The 17090-nt window shown below is 38.7% G+C and overlaps 1 protein-coding gene and 2 long non-coding RNA genes across 8 annotated transcripts in view, besides 7 other annotated features; 2 read left to right on the plus strand and 1 right to left on the minus strand.

The window, feature by feature from the left end:
- The window catches only part of RAB28 (RAB28, member RAS oncogene family), a 116617-nt gene extending 112860 nt beyond the window's left edge, over window positions 1–3757 (minus strand). For all 3 annotated transcript variants that reach the window (NM_001017979.3, NM_004249.4, NM_001159601.2), the window contains exon 1: window positions 3493–3757. In NM_001017979.3, the coding sequence (NP_001017979.1) occupies window positions 3493–3567 (75 nt within the window). In that variant the 5' untranslated portion in view covers window positions 3568–3757. The remainder of the gene's footprint in view (window positions 1–3492) is intronic.
- Window positions 3289–3908: a silencer, noted in NCBI's record as "silent region_15284". NCBI's record gives its function as "represses an Ori minimal core promoter by ATAC-STARR-seq in GM12878 lymphoblastoid cells {active_cell/tissue: GM12878}" and the evidence as "EXISTENCE:reporter gene assay evidence [ECO:0000049][PMID:35858748]".
- Window positions 3289–4639: a biological region, named in NCBI's record as "Sharpr-MPRA regulatory regions 1971 and 3941".
- Window positions 3642–3936: an enhancer, noted in NCBI's record as "tiled region #1971; HepG2 Activating DNase matched - State 1:Tss, and K562 Activating non-DNase unmatched - State 1:Tss". NCBI's record gives its function as "activates a minimal TATA promoter and a strong SV40 promoter by Sharpr-MPRA in HepG2 and K562 cells {active_cell/tissue: HepG2 | K562}" and the evidence as "EXISTENCE:reporter gene assay evidence [ECO:0000049][PMID:27701403]".
- Window positions 3732–4639: an enhancer, noted in NCBI's record as "H3K27ac hESC enhancer chr4:13485939-13486846 (GRCh37/hg19 assembly coordinates)". NCBI's record gives its function as "activates a minimal SCP1, AML or CMV promoter by ChIP-STARR-seq in naive H9 embryonic stem cells {active_cell/tissue: H9 hESC(naive)}" and the evidence as "EXISTENCE:reporter gene assay evidence [ECO:0000049][PMID:30033119]".
- Window positions 3866–9306, plus strand: LOC105374495 (uncharacterized). 2 transcript variants are annotated; one of them, XR_925412.1, is made up of 3 exons: window positions 3866–4820; window positions 5578–5744; window positions 9138–9306. It is a non-coding gene; the product is annotated as an uncharacterized LOC105374495 (long non-coding RNA). The 2 variants fall into 2 exon arrangements; XR_925413.1 differs by having other exon boundaries at window positions 3866–4371.
- Window positions 3899–4018: an enhancer, noted in NCBI's record as "active region_21324". NCBI's record gives its function as "activates an Ori minimal core promoter by ATAC-STARR-seq in GM12878 lymphoblastoid cells {active_cell/tissue: GM12878}" and the evidence as "EXISTENCE:reporter gene assay evidence [ECO:0000049][PMID:35858748]".
- Window positions 3902–4196: a silencer, noted in NCBI's record as "tiled region #3941; K562 Repressive DNase matched - State 1:Tss". NCBI's record gives its function as "weakly represses a minimal TATA promoter and a strong SV40 promoter by Sharpr-MPRA in K562 cells {active_cell/tissue: K562}" and the evidence as "EXISTENCE:reporter gene assay evidence [ECO:0000049][PMID:27701403]".
- Window positions 4159–4218: a silencer, noted in NCBI's record as "silent region_15285". NCBI's record gives its function as "represses an Ori minimal core promoter by ATAC-STARR-seq in GM12878 lymphoblastoid cells {active_cell/tissue: GM12878}" and the evidence as "EXISTENCE:reporter gene assay evidence [ECO:0000049][PMID:35858748]".
- A 1228-nt stretch (window positions 9307–10534) lies between the features above and the next one.
- LOC124900669 (uncharacterized) overlaps window positions 10535–17090 on the plus strand; it is a 33740-nt gene continuing 27184 nt past the window's right edge. For 2 of the 3 annotated variants that reach the window (XR_007058052.1, XR_007058054.1), the window contains exon 1: window positions 10535–10766. This is a non-coding gene — a long non-coding RNA (uncharacterized LOC124900669). Of the gene's footprint in view, window positions 10767–16080; window positions 16269–17090 lie in introns of those variants that run through there. The other variant, XR_007058053.1, reaches the window with a different exon arrangement.

The following is a 17090-nucleotide window of genomic DNA, read 5'->3' on the forward strand; positions in this document are numbered from 1 at the left end:
CAATTCCTTTTAGCAAGATCATCTAAAATTCCTTTTACACAGAACCATATTTTTCACACAAATGGCAATTTGGACACCATAACTCCAAATATTTTTGGGTTTAAATACCCAGCATTTGTAATAAATTTCGAAGATAATTGGCCAAGTATTTGTTGAGCACTACCATATAAAGGGTATTCTGCTAGACATCTAGAAACAAACACATTTGTTATATTTTTGACACATGTAACACTATCAAAACTGAGAGATCAGAATTGAAAAGATAGGTATTTCTTTTTACAGACCATTGTTTCTCATCTACACTATATTATTCTACTGATCTTATCTAACTTAGACCACAAAATCATCTTTGAAGAGGTTCAGAATTCTAGAAAAAAATAACTATCACTACTTATACTATTACAGATATTTCAAAATATTTAATAGACTGATGGTTGAAATACTTAAAGGTCAAAGAGAAACTGAAGGCATGTGTAACATTCACGTAATGTCATTTGAGATAATTTTTCACTTTAAAGAATCTCAGAGTTCAATATTTTCATGTTAAGGAATATTCAGAAAAATTCTAAGAAAGTTTCTTTTCCTGAAAAAGTGACTTCTAGATTTTGAAAGCCCTGCTTTCACACTTTTGAGGCAAACATAAAGCTAGGATTTTCAACTGGAATCGAGTGTAAACTGTCAAAAATACAGGTTACTGGGAACATACAGAGTATTAAAGTAAGTTCTTACTATATCATCTCCCGATGTCTTGAGATAAAAATTGAACAGAGAATCAACTGAATCAGTGGGGGTCACTTTCTCTTCACTTATCTAGACTGCATGCTATCTTTCACATTCAATAATTTCTCAAGTCACTGTATAAATACCCTTCTTAATTACAGGTATTAAGTGAACAACTAGCTCCCATATCAGAAATATTTTTATCTGAATCTTTATATTTTTTGATTTGGAAAATTTCTACTAACATTTTTGACTTGGTAAATTTCTACTAACATTTTTTAACCATGCTACATTTACAAACACTGAAAAGACAGAAAAAAAAAGAATATTTTGCCTCAAAAAGCTCTTAAGAGACTATGTAATAAAAGAAAAAATATGAATCAGAAAAGGAAAGAAATAGAAACACGTGATACTGGAAGGAGGAGCTAAATTTCTCTTGGAGAAACTGTTAGTCATCATCTCAATACTCTATTGCATCTGTCAGTGTGTTGAAAAATGCTCAGAGTTAGATTGAGCAGGAAAAACAAATGCCAGGAAAAAAGAGCCAAGAGTTAAATCAGGATACAAGTAAGAATGAAAGAGAGGCTGAGTTCACAAAGAAAAGAACAATAAAGGAAAAAGAATGGGAATGTTGGTGGCTGCCAAGTATTTGAGAACTGAATAGGGTATGGAGAAAAAAATTCTTGATTTAAGAATAATGAAAGAAGGTTAGGTGTCAGATGTTTGTGTCTGGAAGTTCCTGTTAGAAAAAGCTGTTACAGTTTTAAAATAAGTTATTTAGTCAAGATAATGAAGATTAAGTCAGAGCACCATAAAAAATATTAACTGTTATCCTTTGAAGCAGAATGATAATACTAATTCAAAAACATGGAAGTGAAAAAATTATCCTGTCCTATACAAGAAAAAATTTTAAACAGAGATAAAAAACCATAATTATTCACACTAAATTAGCAACAAAGAGGAAACATGTATGATAGGCTAAATAAAAAACTCAGACGCAAAATTATGAACAAATTTCACTAAGTAATATATGTACAATAAATACTGTTAGAAAAATGAACAACAGTTTAAAGAATTATGATAGCATATAGGATAACCAGCAATTTTTGTGTCTTTTTACAAATGTATTGTTATGAGTTGTCATTATCATTTTAAATGGGAAATAAGATCAGTTATGAATTGAATACAGTAAAATTTAAGAGCCAAAACCTTAGACGGCCTTCAAAAGAAAATCTAAATGATGAGAAAACTATAAAAATCTAACAAACTTTTTATTGAATAAAGGTGTTAGAAACAATGATTTATTTATAGCAATTCATTCATTCGAAAAGTTTACTAAGTATACAAAAATTAATATACTTTATAAAGAAAAGTTACCCCAAGTTCCTTTCTTCCCCCAACGTTTAAAGGTAATCAGAGCATATTGTTTTCCTCAGCTTTAAAAATCTGTAACAAAGGATCCAAGAAGACAAGAAAGAAACAAAAAAATACTTCAAATTTTGCATATAAAATTTTACATCTTTCCCAGGTGACCTCGAAACTCAAATGTCAGAACCAAAGGCAGAAGCAGGTATCTGGGCAGTGCCAACTGTCAGGGAGGATGCAAAGAGAAGTCGTCACCAGAGAAACCAGGGTCCGAAATGCAACCAGCAACAGGGAAATGTGAAGCCTTAAACAGGAAATAAAAGCCTGGGTTTCTTTAGACTATGGTTGGGATAAGGAAGGGGAGTACAGGGGTGATAAACTTTAGCAATATTCCCAGAAAGTGTTGGCGCCTTTGACAGAAGCATGGGAAAGAAGGCATCCGGGTAGAGGCTCTTCACTATTTGCTGGTGGAGGGATCATAGACCCCTCTGAGATCTTATGGACCCTCTCCCCAGAGCACGTACCGGGCAGTATTTACTCCATTTCAGGAGTTCCACAGCCTTGGGGTAGGAGCCCCTGCCTAGGAGATAATAAGACTGACGCTGCCTGATATTCTCACGCCCGCATTCATTCATTCGAACAGGGGATCCCTTTTGTCACGCAAGCAGCTCTACCCTCAGCATCCTACCCGTAACAGGAGCTCCATAAACACTTGTTGACTGACTGCTTGTATCGAGTGCTGAGCTGGAAACAGAGGTGATGAACAGGTATGATATTAAAATAGCAACTAGAGTGTACTGAGTGGACACTGTGCTCTAAAGGTTTTATGTGTATTTTCACATTTAATATGTATTTTCACATTTCTCCCTTTGCGGCGGCCCTTTTCAATACCCATCTTACAGATGAAGCTTAAACTGATTAGCAATTTGCCCTCCAATGACCCGACGACTAAGTGGCAGAGCCCCAATTCTCACCCGGGGAATACTGATTCCAGAGCTACGCTCCTGGGAGCTCACGATGCAGTAGAAGCATCAGAAACGGTAAAGGGGGTGGGAGGGGAGGAGTAAGTGTGACCCAGACTACAAGTAAGAGGAGCTAAGATGCCTTGGCAAATCCCTGCCAGTCCTGAGAGGCGGGAAGCTGAAAGGCTGGCCCGAGTCTTGCAGGAGTTCGCAATCCAGGCGGGGAGTTAGGAAGTGACTCTTTTTTAAGGGGGAGCTGGACAGCTCTCGTCGGCCTTCACCAAGCGCCCACTTCGTGTCCGGCCTCAGGCCACACAACCAGAAGGGCCCGGGCCTAGAAGCCCGAGGGCTCGGGGTAACGAGGCGACGCCGGGCGGCGGGGAGGAGGCCGGGGACCGCCGGGGTTCCTGCAGGCCTGGGACGGCGGGCCTGCTCGAGGACTGACCTTCCCGGAGGCGCCGTCCCCCAGCACGACGATTTTCAGTTGCCGGTCCTGGCTCTCCTCCTCAGAGTCCGACATGGTGTCCCGGGAACCAGGCCCGCCCCTCGAGGTGGGGGGGGAAGGGAAGGATGAAGGCTCCGGGGGCGGGGGAGAGGAGGAAGGGAGGTAGTTGCGGCAGGACCCCCGCCCCGGTGTCTCCGCGCCGGCAGGAGGTATTCGAGGAGAATCACTCGGCAAGCGCCATCTTGCCCACCTCCCCGCCCTCTGCGCGCGGCCCCGCCCCCTACGCGCACGTCGGGCGCGCGCCCCCGCCTCAGAGCCAACCCGCGCCGACCGGCGGCCCCGCCTGACGAGCCGAACCACTCGCGGCCCTGGACTGGTGTGGGGGACATTCCGGCGGGAGAGGCGAGGCGCTGCGTTTCCCTTCAGGAGACAGTTGGCTAGAAGAAGAAAAGAAGTGTTCGTTCAAATTAAGGAGAGAAAACGGGAGCAGAGCAGCTTTCAGGCGTTCCATCAAATTCCCTTTTCTCCTTCCCTCTTGAGAAAGTCTCTGAAGGGAATGGTTCAGCCTGACGGGGTGGAGCAGTGACGCCCGGGCTACGCGCCAGGGTTGCCTGGCAGCCAGGAGTTCGAGGACCGGCGGCGGGGCGGGGCCTGTCTCCGGGCACCCGGGACGCCCGTAGCCTGGCGGAGAGCGCCAGAGAGGGCCCCTGAAAAACCGGACCAGGGAAGAGGGTACCTCGGGGCGGATGAGGGGACAGCTGCTAAGGGCCGAGGCTGCTGGGAAGCCTCAGTAGCGGCCGTGAATACAGTGGAGCTCCGGCGCTGCTTATTTCGGCCTAACTCTTGGTTTCCTCATCTGAACAACCCCAGGCTCCCATGGTTCGTTCATCAGACGCTACTGATCGCCAACCTCCTGGCACCCCATCTTTACCCTAAGGCAGCAGTTCTCATAAAGTGTGGTCTAGGGACCTCTGGAAATCCCGATGACCTCAGAACAATTTTCATAATAATACGGACACCTTGTCTGTCTTTCTCACGTTCCTTCTCTCACTAGTATACCGTTTCCTGGAGGATACGCTTTGTGTACGACGTCATCACTGGCAGCTAAGGGAGCTTGCGTTTGTTGTTTTTAAACATTTCTCAGTTTTCATTTCAATGCAGTAGTGATAGGTGTAACCCACATAAACATAAGCTCTTTGGAGGTCACAGTAATTCTTTAACATTATAGAGAGGCCCTGAGTCCAAAAAATTTAAGAACTGCTGCCCTGGATAATCTCAGTCCAGGAGCGTTAGGTAAACGGCATAAATGAAATTTACAATTTAGTGAGGTAAATTCAAAAATAATAATGCTGTCCTGCTATGGTTGTTTCATTGTTAATCACTTAAAATTTATTGTTACCTTTACTACTATTAGGAATTATGAAGTATAATTATCCCCATTTTGCAGATGAAGTATCTTAAGTTAACAAAATGCTTAGCCCAGAGGCAGTAGTCTTGGAGACCATATGGGCATTAGAACAGGAAAGCAGAACAGTGTAAAGAAATGCCCAGACCTAGAGGCATCACTGGAGTTTAATCTCATGTTTACTAGATATGTGTCCTCGAGCCTCAGTTAGTTCACCTGTAGAACAGACTACTGCCTTTGTGTAGGTTTGAAAATTAAATGAAATAATCGGCATAAAGTAGATAGCACAATGCCTGGTGTGTAGTAAGCACTCAATATTAACCAGTGTAACTATCACCCTCATCATCATCATAATTAGATGATGGTCCGTGTTGGAAGTGTCACTACTTTCTAGCCAATTTACCTTATACAAGTTTCTTATGTAGAGCCTCAGTCTCTTCATCTGCAGAGAGGGCTGGCCCACAATTATAGGTACCCAGTTAAGTATTAGTACCCAATTCTTTCCCCAATCCCGCACCACCATTGCCACCACCAATTTTCTATTCACCAGATTTATTCATAAGAATTAGAAGAAAGAGGATATGTACTTGTTAGTGAGAAGAATCTACTTCCAGTGAGGACAGACTTAACCACTTCTTGTCCATGAGGGCAGTTAAAATGCAAGAAAATTTCTTTTCCAGTCTTCCTTAGATAGCTATGTGATCCACCGGACTAATGAGACAGAAGACAGTGTCCTTTGGAAGACATTTGTAAAAGAACCCTCCCCCCACCATTTAAAAAAAAGGAAAAGAAAAAAGGAGAGTTACAGGGGAGTCCTCCTCCTCCCTTCCTTTGCTGTCATTATTAGGTAAGAACAGGATTTTTGGAACTACTACACTTTGTTCACTCTATCTTCTCGGTTTCTTGTTATGGGAAATAATAATATGGTACTTTGGCGATGAATTGTGTTACCTACAAACAAAAAAATTCCAACTGACATAACTACTTCGGCCAAAAACTAGATTTAGCTGAACTCATAGGCCTGATTTTCATATGTGGTTTTATATGAAGGGAAATCTAGAAGAAAGCTTCTCATTTTCCACTCATCAATTTCTGAGATGACTGCTTTGATTGAGAGACAACATTCATTTGGATATGGGTACATCAATAGGATAGTGTTATATAAAACAAAAAGTTGCACTATTTTAGGGATCATATTTTACACATATGGCAAGTTTCTGGGTTAAAAGTTAGAATTTAAAGACTTAGAGCCATTTTTATAAAGAAAAAGAAAAAAAAACTTTCTATGTGAGGAGGACCATTTTAGCATTGAGAGCTTCCAGTATGATACTCTGACATACTAAAGAAACATAGAGCTGATCCACCAAAAAGAATATATCTTTGTGGATTCTCATGTACAATGCTCTTAACAGGGTCAAAAATTAGAGGAATGGTCTTCAGTCATTTTAAAACTAATAGACAAAAGGTTTATAAGAATTCTAGACATTGTATAAAATATCTTTTATAGCATCTCTAACAGATAATTATTCAAACCTTATTTGAATACGTCCACATTCAAGGAGTTTCTTCCTTTATGAAGCAACCTGGCCTGTAGATGGATAGGCCTGGTTATTAAAATATTATCTCTGATGATGAGCCAAAGCTTATCACTATAAATTACAGCTAATGATAATAGGTATGTCTTTCTCAATAAAACGAAAACTCCCCATTCCACAGGAAGATGATCAAAGTGATTCATTAATACTTAGTGACTGCTAGACATGGTGGCTTATACCTGTGATCCCAGCACTTTGGGAGGCCGAGGCAGGAGGGTTACGTGAGCCCAGGAGTTCATGACCAGCCTGGGCAACATAGGGAGATCCTGTCTCTAAAAGAACTTTAAAAAACAAAAATTACCCAGCCAAGCATTGTGGTAGGCGCCTGTGGTCCCAGCTACTTGGAAGGCTGAGATAGGAAGATCACTTGAGCCTGGGAGGTCAAGGCTACAGTGAGCAGTGATCATGCCGCTGCACTCCAGCATGGATGACACAATGAGACCCTGTCTCCAAAAATAAACAAACAAACAAAACTTCATTAAATTTACAAATATTTAGTGACTGCCTACTGTGTACCAGGCATTCTTGTTCACAACTCCTCGAAACACTGAAAACACATAAGTGAAAAAAAACATACAAAAGCTCTGTTCCCATGGAATTTACATTCTGGTAGAGGGATATGTAGGCTGAATAATAGCCACATGAAGATATCAGGTCCTAATCCTTGGAAACTGTAAATGTTACCTTATTTGGAAAAGCATCTTTCAGGTGTGATTAAGTTAAGGATTTTGAGATGGGAAGATTATCCAGGATTATTTGGTGGGCCCTCAATGCAATCACATGTATCCTTATAAGAGAGAAGGCAATATAACCACAGAGACAGAGACTGGAATGATGCAGCCACTAGCCAACGAGTGCTGGCAGCCACTAGCAGCTGGAAGAGGCAAAAAACAAATTATCCTCAGGCTTCTGGAGGTAGCCCAGCCCTGCTGACACTTTGATTTCAGTGCAGTGACACTGATTTAGGACTTATGACCTCAAGATCTGTGAGAGAATACATTTATGTTCTTTTAAGTTACCAAGTTTATGGTAATTTTTTACAATAGCCATAGATAACTAATATAAGGATGAACACAGATATTTAGTAAATCATCAAGACAGTTTCATATTCTGGTACATTAAAAAGATAGTAAAACAGGTGACAGATGAAATAGAGTAAAAATATCTTAACATTATTATTCATCAATAATGAAGGTGGGAAAATGGTAAACGAATCAAGGAAGGAACTAATTTCAGAAACTACCAGTCTCTGACATCTTCTCAACAAATCCAATGTCATCCATCAGTTTTCATCTTTTTGCACTATTTCACAATTTTGAAGATGTAGATCCTAGGACTAATGTCTGAGTAAGGCTAAATACTGGCCATGCTTCCAGGTTGTACACTTGGTATTTCTGTATTTGTATAGTTCTGCTGAAAAACTAAGAAAAATACAGAACTAATCCCTAGAATTAATTGGTTTGTTAAACTCCTTGAGGACAAAATTTTAAAAAATAAGGCTTTCTTCCTAAAATTCTGTTCTCCCATGGGTTGTATGCACATCTACATAGATATACATGTGCATGTTGTATGTTTAACCACCATCTGAATCAAGACATAGAACAATTCAGAATCCCAGCAGACTCCCTCATGCCACCTCTCGGTTATTACCTCCTCAATGATTACTATTATGATCTCTAGTCCTGTACATTAGTTTTACCAGCTTGTAAACGTCATACAAATAGATTACAGGTAGTATGTTCTCTTTGGCATCTAGCTATTTTCACTCAATAGTATTCTATAAAGTCATCCATGTTGTTATGTGCATCAGAAGTGTATATTTTCTATTGCCATGTACTATTCCATTGTATGAATCCACTACAATTTATCCACTGTACTGTTGATGGACACACAGGTTGTTCCCAATTTGGGAATACTATGATGAGTGCTCCTCAGTACAGCCTACCGCTCTTCCAAAGAAAATCTCTGTCCACAATTAGCACTCTTCTCTCAAAAAAAACAAACAAAAAAAAAACAAATCCTCCATCTACATTTTATACTCTTGAGATGGGTGAGGCATGCAACAACAGTCATGGAACTGGTTCTTGGACATAAGTTTTGACATCTGCATTTGATGATTTAATCTAGGAGTAGCTCATCTACTATATCTCATGGGCTCTACTTGAAACTTCAATTTTCACATATTGTTGTCACCATTATAAAAACGTGACTTCCGTACACAAAAATATATTAAGCCCGGTCAGGTGTCGTGGCTCACGCCTGTAATCCCAGCACTTTGGGAGGCTGAGACGGGCGAATCACGAGGTTAGGAGATTGAGACCATCCTGGCCAACATGGTGAAACCCCGTCTCTACTAAAAATACAAAAATTAGCTGGGCATAGAGGCATATGCCTGTAGTTCCAGCTACTTGGGAGACTGAAGCAGGAGAATCTCTTGAACCCGGGAGACAGAGGTTGCAGTGGAGCCAATCGCGCCACTGCACTCCAGCCTGGGTGACAGAGCAAGACTCCGTCTCAAAAAAAAAAAAAAAATATATATATATATACACATAAATATATGTATATATACACATAAATATATATAGAGAGAGAGAGCCCACTTTCTATCAAAATCTTCCTGACTTTTTTTTTTTTCTGGTTGACAGAATGATGCTGAACTTCATGTGTAAGAATAAACACATGACAATAGCCAGGAGAAGCAAGAGGAGGGGCAAGAAATGAAGGGATCATTAATGGGCAACATATTTTTCTAGGACTATTTATAATTGCAACTGTATTGTGCAATGTCTGGAATTAATCTCAAAGCAAATATTGTATTTTATGGGGGAAAATTTAAAAAACAATAAAATACATTAAATAAAAACTAGATAAATGGAGAGACATCTCATATCCATGGATAGAAAAACAATAAAATATATCAATTCTACCAAATGATCTACAAAGTTAATGCAATTCTAATAAGATTTTTCATAGAATTTGAAATGGCACATATGGAAGGTAGAGATCCAAGGACAGGCAAGATATTCCAGAAGAAGAAGATCCTAGAACTTTCCTTACCGTATATCAAGACTTTGTATAAAGTTATAATTAAGATACAGTATATTATTGGTGCAAGGATAAACAAATTCACCACAATAACATTGGAGAGCCAAGAAATAGGCTGCCAGATACATGAAACTTTATATATGAGAGAGCGTATCGAGTAGTGTATCAAAGAGGAAAGGGGTGACAGTTGGAAACATATAGGAAAAGAAATGAAATTGGAACTCTACATTTCATTAGACACACAAAAAAATAAATTCCAGTTGAATACGAATCCAAATGTGAAAGAAACCTCAAATACCATGAGGAGACTGCCTTTCTTATCTTAGGATGGAGAAGAATTTCATAATGAAGACACAAAGAGTTCTTCATAAAAGAACATCAAGAAAATTTTATTAAAATTTAAAACTGTTCATCAAAATATACAATAAAGTGAAAGTATAAACCACAAACTAGGAGATACATCCAACACATAAAACTTATACCAATTGGTATCCAGAACCTCCAAAGAACTACAAACCAGTAAGAAAAAAAAAATAGAAAAATCAGCAAGTAAAATGAAAAGACATTTTACAGAAGAAGAAACAGTGTGGTCAATAAACATATACAAAAATATTCAACCCGTCTTAATGTAACCAGAAAAGCACAAAAAGGGTTTAATGAGGTACCATTTCATACCTGTAGATTAGCAAAAACTAAGAAGTCAAACAATATCTTTATCAGTCAAAAAAATGAAAAACATAAAGTTATGTTAACAGAGAGAATTAATATGGAGAATTTGTTACATGGTGTTGAAGTACAGAAAAAACAAAAAGGAAATACAGGGGTGTAGCACAAAGTTACTGCAGGAGGCAGTTACTACCTCTTACCTGTTAGACTAGAGGAATGAAAGAAAGTGGTAGGGGTTATCATAACTTCGAAGCTGAAAGAGACAAACTAGAGAGTTAGGACCCAGACTTTTGCCTTACTGCTACTGTTTTTCAGGAGTACAGAGGAAGGATCCAAGGAGCAAGACACAGAATTCTGAGGAGGATGTTCCATTGGCTGCTACTGGCCATACTTTGGGAGATCAGAGGACGGTTCCCACAGAGCTGGAACTCACCTCTGAGAAGAGGATATTGCTCAGCTGCTTCTCGTGCCTCCAAGTGAACACAATAGTGATGCTGATTCGTGAAGTTAGAAAGAATGTGGAAACTAGAAAACCACAGCTATAACCAACTGCTGCTGCTAAGGTGAGATCCCATATTTGGAATTACATTGACAAGAATGCCAAACAAACAAGAAAGAAAGTCCCTCATGCCTCCTCCTACTTTCCAAACTCTCTCATGTACCCAACCTTAGCAGAAACCAAAAGGACGCAAGCTAGCAAACAAACAAAAACAAAAACGAAAACCTATAGTTTTGATCGTACTAGCTCCATCAATAAGTCAGTACATACCTTTACAATCTGCATGATACCAGTTGTTGCGGAGAATGTGGATCAGTGGGAACTCTGACACATTCCTTGTAGAGAATACATGAAACCAGCTGGGCTCGGTGGCTCACGCCTGTAATCCCACCACTTTGGGAGGCCGAGGTGGGTGGATCACCCTGAGGTCAGGATTTCGAGACCAACCTGGCCAACATGGGCAAACCCTGTCTCTAATAAAAATACAAAAATTAGCTGGGCGTGGTGGCGCACACGTGTAATCCCAGCTACTTGGGAGGCTGAGGCAGGAGAATCACTTGAACCCTGGGAAGTGGAAGTTGCAGAAAGCCGAGATCGTGCCACTGCACTCCAGCCTGGGCGGCAGAGCCAGACACCATCCAAAACAAAAACAGAAACAAAAACAAACAAAGGGAATACATGAAATCACTTTAGAAAACAATTTGTCTTGGGCCAGGCGTGGTGGCTCATGGCTCATGCCTGTAATCCTAGCACTTTGGGAGGCCGAGGTGGGCGGATCACTCAAGGTCAGGAGTTCAAGACCAGCCTGGCCAACATGGTGAAACCTCATCTCTACTAAAAATACAAAAAAATTAGCCAAGCATGATGGTGGGTGCCTGTAATCCCAGCTACTCCGGAGGCTGAGGCCGGAAAATTGCTTGAACCCGGGAGGCGGAGGTTGCAGTGAGCCAAGATTGAGCCACTGCACTCCAGCCTGGGCAACAGAGTGAGACTCCCTCCCAGAAAAACAAAGAAAGAAAGAAATTTGTCATTACTTTGTAAAGTTAAAAGATGTGCATAGCCTGGTGACCCAGCAATTGCACTCCTAGGTACGTACCCTGGAAATCTCGTGTAAAAAATGCAGCAGGCGAAACGTGCAAAAATTGTCATAGGCTCATATTCATTAGAGAAATAATCCAAAGGCCATTCAACAACAAAGTGGATAGATTTTGGCATATTCGTACAAGGAAATACTATATAGCAGGGGAAAATGAATAAACTCCAGCTACGGGGATTTATCTTAGAAATACAATATTGAGTTGGGCGGAGGGGGGGTGAAGATTACCTAATGTATGATACCATATTTATCAAGCTCTAAAACAAGAGCACAAAAGTAAATGTATATACACTTATACATGTACATGTATGAGTAATAAAACTGTCCATAAAGAGGAAGGTAAAAGAAGATGGAAAAGAAGAAACAGAAAAAGAGATACAGGTTATAATTTTTTTTTAGGTTGTGTGTTATCTTAATTCATTTTCTGTTGCTTATAACAGAATACCTGAAACTGGATAATACGTAAAGAAAAAAATTAATTCTTACAGCTATGGAGGCTGGGAAGTCCAAGGTCAAAGGGCTGAATTTGGTAAGAGCCTTCTTGCAGCACAGAGTATCACATGGAGAAAGGGCTGAGTGTGTTCATGTGTTTGTGTGCTCACGTATGAGGTCAGGGCTCTGTTCCTCTTCTTACAAAGCCACCAGTTCTCTCCTATGATAATCCATTAATCCATTAACACATTAATCCATGAATGGATAAGTCTATTTACGAAGGCAGAGCCTTCATGATCCAATCACCTCTTAAGGGCCCCACCTTTCAATACAGCCTTGGTGATTAAGTTTGAAGAAGTTTTGGATGGCACAGTCAAACCATAGCAGATGGTGATTTCACAAGTATTCATTATATTATTATGCCATGTAACTTACTCATAACTTTATTAAATTATTTGCTATATATCTAAAAGAAAAATAAGTGAAGCTTCCCTAAGTTTTCAAGTATTGAAAAGAAATAAGAACTTCCAGATATTTTTTAAAGTATTATTAAACTAACACTAAAACTGTGTGGAGTAGGCATTGAAATAGATGGGTTTTTTTCAACAGAAAAGATTAGAAAGGTCTCAATATAGAAAGAAATTAACTGGTTAGTAAAGGCGATATTTCTAATCAGTGGGGAAAACATGGGGGTAATTTTTAAAACAATATTTTCTCATTTCTTCAAAATGAATTCCACATGAAGTTAAATCATATTTCTTAAATGAAGTCACAGCAAACTAGAAAAAAAGTGCATAGATTTCTGTAATCTGAAGTGGAAATAACTCCTCTAAGCATAGCATGAAGGTCAAGTCACTAAATTAAAGACTGATAATGTGTGTACATAAAATTTTAAATATTCATGTGGCCAAAAGCACTATTAGGATCATGTAAACTTCCAGCAAAGACAGAAGATTTGTGCCAGTCTTCTTGCTGAGGAAACCCAGAAAATCTAGACATAATATTTTTTAATCTGCTTGAAATTATCAGAGTTACCAAATTATGACATGAGAATTTATGGGGCTAAGATTTAGTTGAAGAAAAAAGCCCAAAGAGCAGGAGACAGCTTTAGGGGCAACTGTCCCCAGATAGTATCTGCTGATTCAGGAAGTAGAATTGAGACATAGGATAAGTAGCATTTTTAACAGCCTCATAAAACTGGGAGGAGAAGGGGTAAACATGGGAGTTCAGGCCATGTCAAGGAGGAAAGAGCCTTAGTAAACCAGCCTACATTCTTTGGGTTGGGACCCTGAAAAGCTACATCTTAGAAGAAAGAGTGAGTGAACCAGAAATAGGCAGTCCCCATAGGAAGTGAAGCCAAATTTTTGGTTATCTCAATTTTTCATTAAGATAATCTCGGGTTGCTAATTTTCTTAAGTGAATCACATACAAGAAGTAAAAGCGTATTCTTTCTGGAAGAAGATAATATAAAAATATCTCTATAATTTTCCATGATTAATATCTGGCACTCAATCAAAAACGTTGCATTGAAGAACAAGACTTTCTGACTGAAAATCAAAAGAAATTGTGAACAAAAGAAGTACGGCACAGGGACCTAAATTATGGAGATATAAACCATGAACTTTAAACAGCTAATATATTTATGGGATTAAATGACAAGACTGAGAATTTGGTCTGGGAAGCTGAAATTATAAAAAAGAACCAAATGGAAATTAGCTAAAAATATAATAACTGAAGTTAACCCAATAAATAAGTGTTATGCCTGGTTACACATAGCCAAAGAGAGAAATAATAAGGTAGAAGTAAGTCAATAAAATATTCAGACTAACAGACACAAAGACAATGGAATAGAAAATACAGAATATACAGTAAGAAACATGTATGAAATGTATAATTGGAGTTCCGAGAGATATATTGTTTTCTTGCTTCATCACAAAGTTGGCATTTCAGAGCAGTGAAAAAGGGCCCTTTTTTCTTTTCTTTTCTTTTTTTTTTTGAAATGGAGTCTCGCTATGTCGTCCAGGCTGGAGCGCAGTGGCACGATCTCAGCTCACCACAGCCTCCTCTCCCAGGTTCAAGCAATTGTCCTGCCTCAGCCTCCTGAGTAGCTAGGATTACAGGTGCGCACCACCATGCCCGGCTAATTTTTGTATTTTTAGTAGGGACGGGATTTTACCATGTTGGTCAGGCTCGTCTTGAACTCCTGACCTTGTGATCCACCCGCCTCAGCCTCCCAAAGTGCTGGGATTATAGGTGGGAGCCACCATGCCCAGCATAAGGGCCCTCTTTTCAATAAATTGTCTTGGGCCAATTGGATAGTCATTTAGAACAAAAGTGAATCTTGAATCGTACGTGATACCATATTCAAAAATCAGTTCTGGCCATTTCATAAAGCTAAGTCCGAAGGTGAGAAACTTCTTAAAAGATTACATAGGGAAATATTTTTGAGACCTTGCAGTGGGTGAAGAGTTTTTAAAGAAGAAATGAAGAAACCAACCTTTAAAGGAAAAGTTGAGTAAATGAGTTACATTGAAATTTTAAAATTCTTCTCATCAAAAGATACATTTAAGCAAATTAAAATGAAAACCACAGAGCAGAAGAAAATATTTTCAGTACATATAATGCAGACACTTGTATCTAGAATTGGAAAGTTTACCTGCAGCTATAAGAAATCGACACAAATAACCCAATAGAATGTTCGACATGAGGCTTGAATAGGCACTTCATGAAATGGCCAATAACATGAAAAGGTTCTTAACTTCATTAGTAATCAGTTAAATGCAAATGCAAACTATTATAAGTTACCACTACCCATACACCAGAATGGTTAAGTTACAAAGGCTGATATTGCCAAGAATTGGAGAAGATGTGAAACCATTAAATTTTCCATGCACTGCTGATAGGAGTATATATTTCTGTAACCACTTTGTAAACCTGTTTGGCATCATCTAGTAAAGCTGAATATACACAACCTATAGTTGGGCAGTTTGATTTCTTAGTATCTACCCAAACAAAAGGCAACCAAAGGTATGTACAAGAATGTTCATGGCAGTATTATGCATAATACCTCAAGACTGGAACCAGTCTAAATGTCCATCCACAATTGAGATGTTGCATATTCCCACAGTGGAATATTATACAGCAATGAAAATGAATGAATTGCTACATATTACAATATGAAAAAAAAAACAATATGTTAGGTGAAAGAAGCCAGAGACAAGTGAGAACATCTTCTGTGAATCTGTTTTCATAAGGTAAAAACAAACAAACAAACAAACGAACAAACAAAACATTGGTATTAGAAGTAAAGTACTGGCTACCTATGAGTGAGGTACCAGTACTTTCGAATTACTGATAACATTCTATTTCTTGACTTGGATGGTGGTCACATGGATGTGTGTTCTTTCTTATAATTCACTTAGCTATGAAGTTGATGTGTACAATCTTCTGTATGTTTTGCTTATATAATTATAAATATATACATATATAATTGATAGCAAATGCATATAAAATATCTAGACTAATACAAACCAAATTATGAATAGCTATTAATAGTAGTGAGATTATAGAGAACTATCCCTTTCCATTTAAACATTTTGATATTGTATGAAATTTGTTACAGTGAACATAAATTTGATTTAAAAATGGAAAAGAAAGGATAAAAATAGTTCAACAGTAACAAAAGACGAATAATAAACAACAGTCCTTTTCACAGTAGGTAGATGAGAACTTTGTCATATGATTAGTATATTCTGCTAATACATACAAAACCTGCTAGTTTAATAATCATCTAAAAGCCTTTGTTTGAAAAGAAATAACTCTTGCTTGTAACAGAACCCCAAACTGGTTTGTGAGCTGCAATTTTCCATCTGTCCACAGTTCTGCCTCATTGCATGGGGACGTGCTTCATTGATTCCTAAAGCATAGCTCCAGACAAAACCAAAAATCTGTAGAGCAGAAGAGTTCTCAAATCACCTCCACAGCTGTAAAAACCAGACCTATCACAACTCACCAGCAAGGCTGGCATGGTTAGATAAGGTAATATGTGTAGAAGTGTTCTGAAAAATAGGAGTTGTGGTACAAACACAAAACATTATTTGAAGCTTGATTGTGGGAGCTTTGAAGGTGTGAATTTCCTTCACCATCAAAAGCCGGCATAAAGATTCCAGTGGTACTAGGGAAATGGCATTTCCGGAGTCCATGGAATGGCAGCGCTGCAAATGTTCTCTAACTCCTAATATCCTTTACTTTGATCTCTTCTGAAACCTTGTTTTATACAGCCCTCCTCCATTGCATAACTGCTTTATCTATGATGGTCCTTAGCTATGTCATCTGGGTTTTCAGTGTATCTACGTTGTAAAATTTAAGACATTCAGACAAGTGAGATACTGCTATAAAGTATTATCTTAATTTTGAGAGGGCATTTCCCAAAAGTGAGTTCTTTGGACATTAGTCCAATGAATTGCTGTTTAGTTTGAAAACAGCTATAGCTACTCTACTTTTGGAAGGTGACAATACACTTGAACAGACTATATTGTGAGAAATACTGCAATAAATAATCTCCGTTGACCTTTTACAACCCAACATTACTTGAAAAAGGGTTATTTAGTCAAATACATTTCTGGAAATTCCCTGAACTTATTTGACCAAAGAACCCATTTTCTAAATAATATTTACTAATATATAGAACTAATATAACTAATATCACATAAAATATTATTTTAGAAGCCCTACTTTTAAAAATTCCAGAAAAGAAATAAATCATATGCATAGTTAAGAAACTTAGTTCTAATACTTAAATCCTCATTATAGAAGGGCTCATATGCAAAAGGTTTCAATTTCTCCTTAAATATATGGGGA

The sequence above is a fragment of the Homo sapiens genome, chromosome 4 (genome assembly GCF_000001405.40).
Source record: "Homo sapiens chromosome 4, GRCh38.p14 Primary Assembly".
In the NCBI taxonomy this organism is placed as follows: domain Eukaryota; kingdom Metazoa; phylum Chordata; class Mammalia; order Primates; family Hominidae; genus Homo; species Homo sapiens.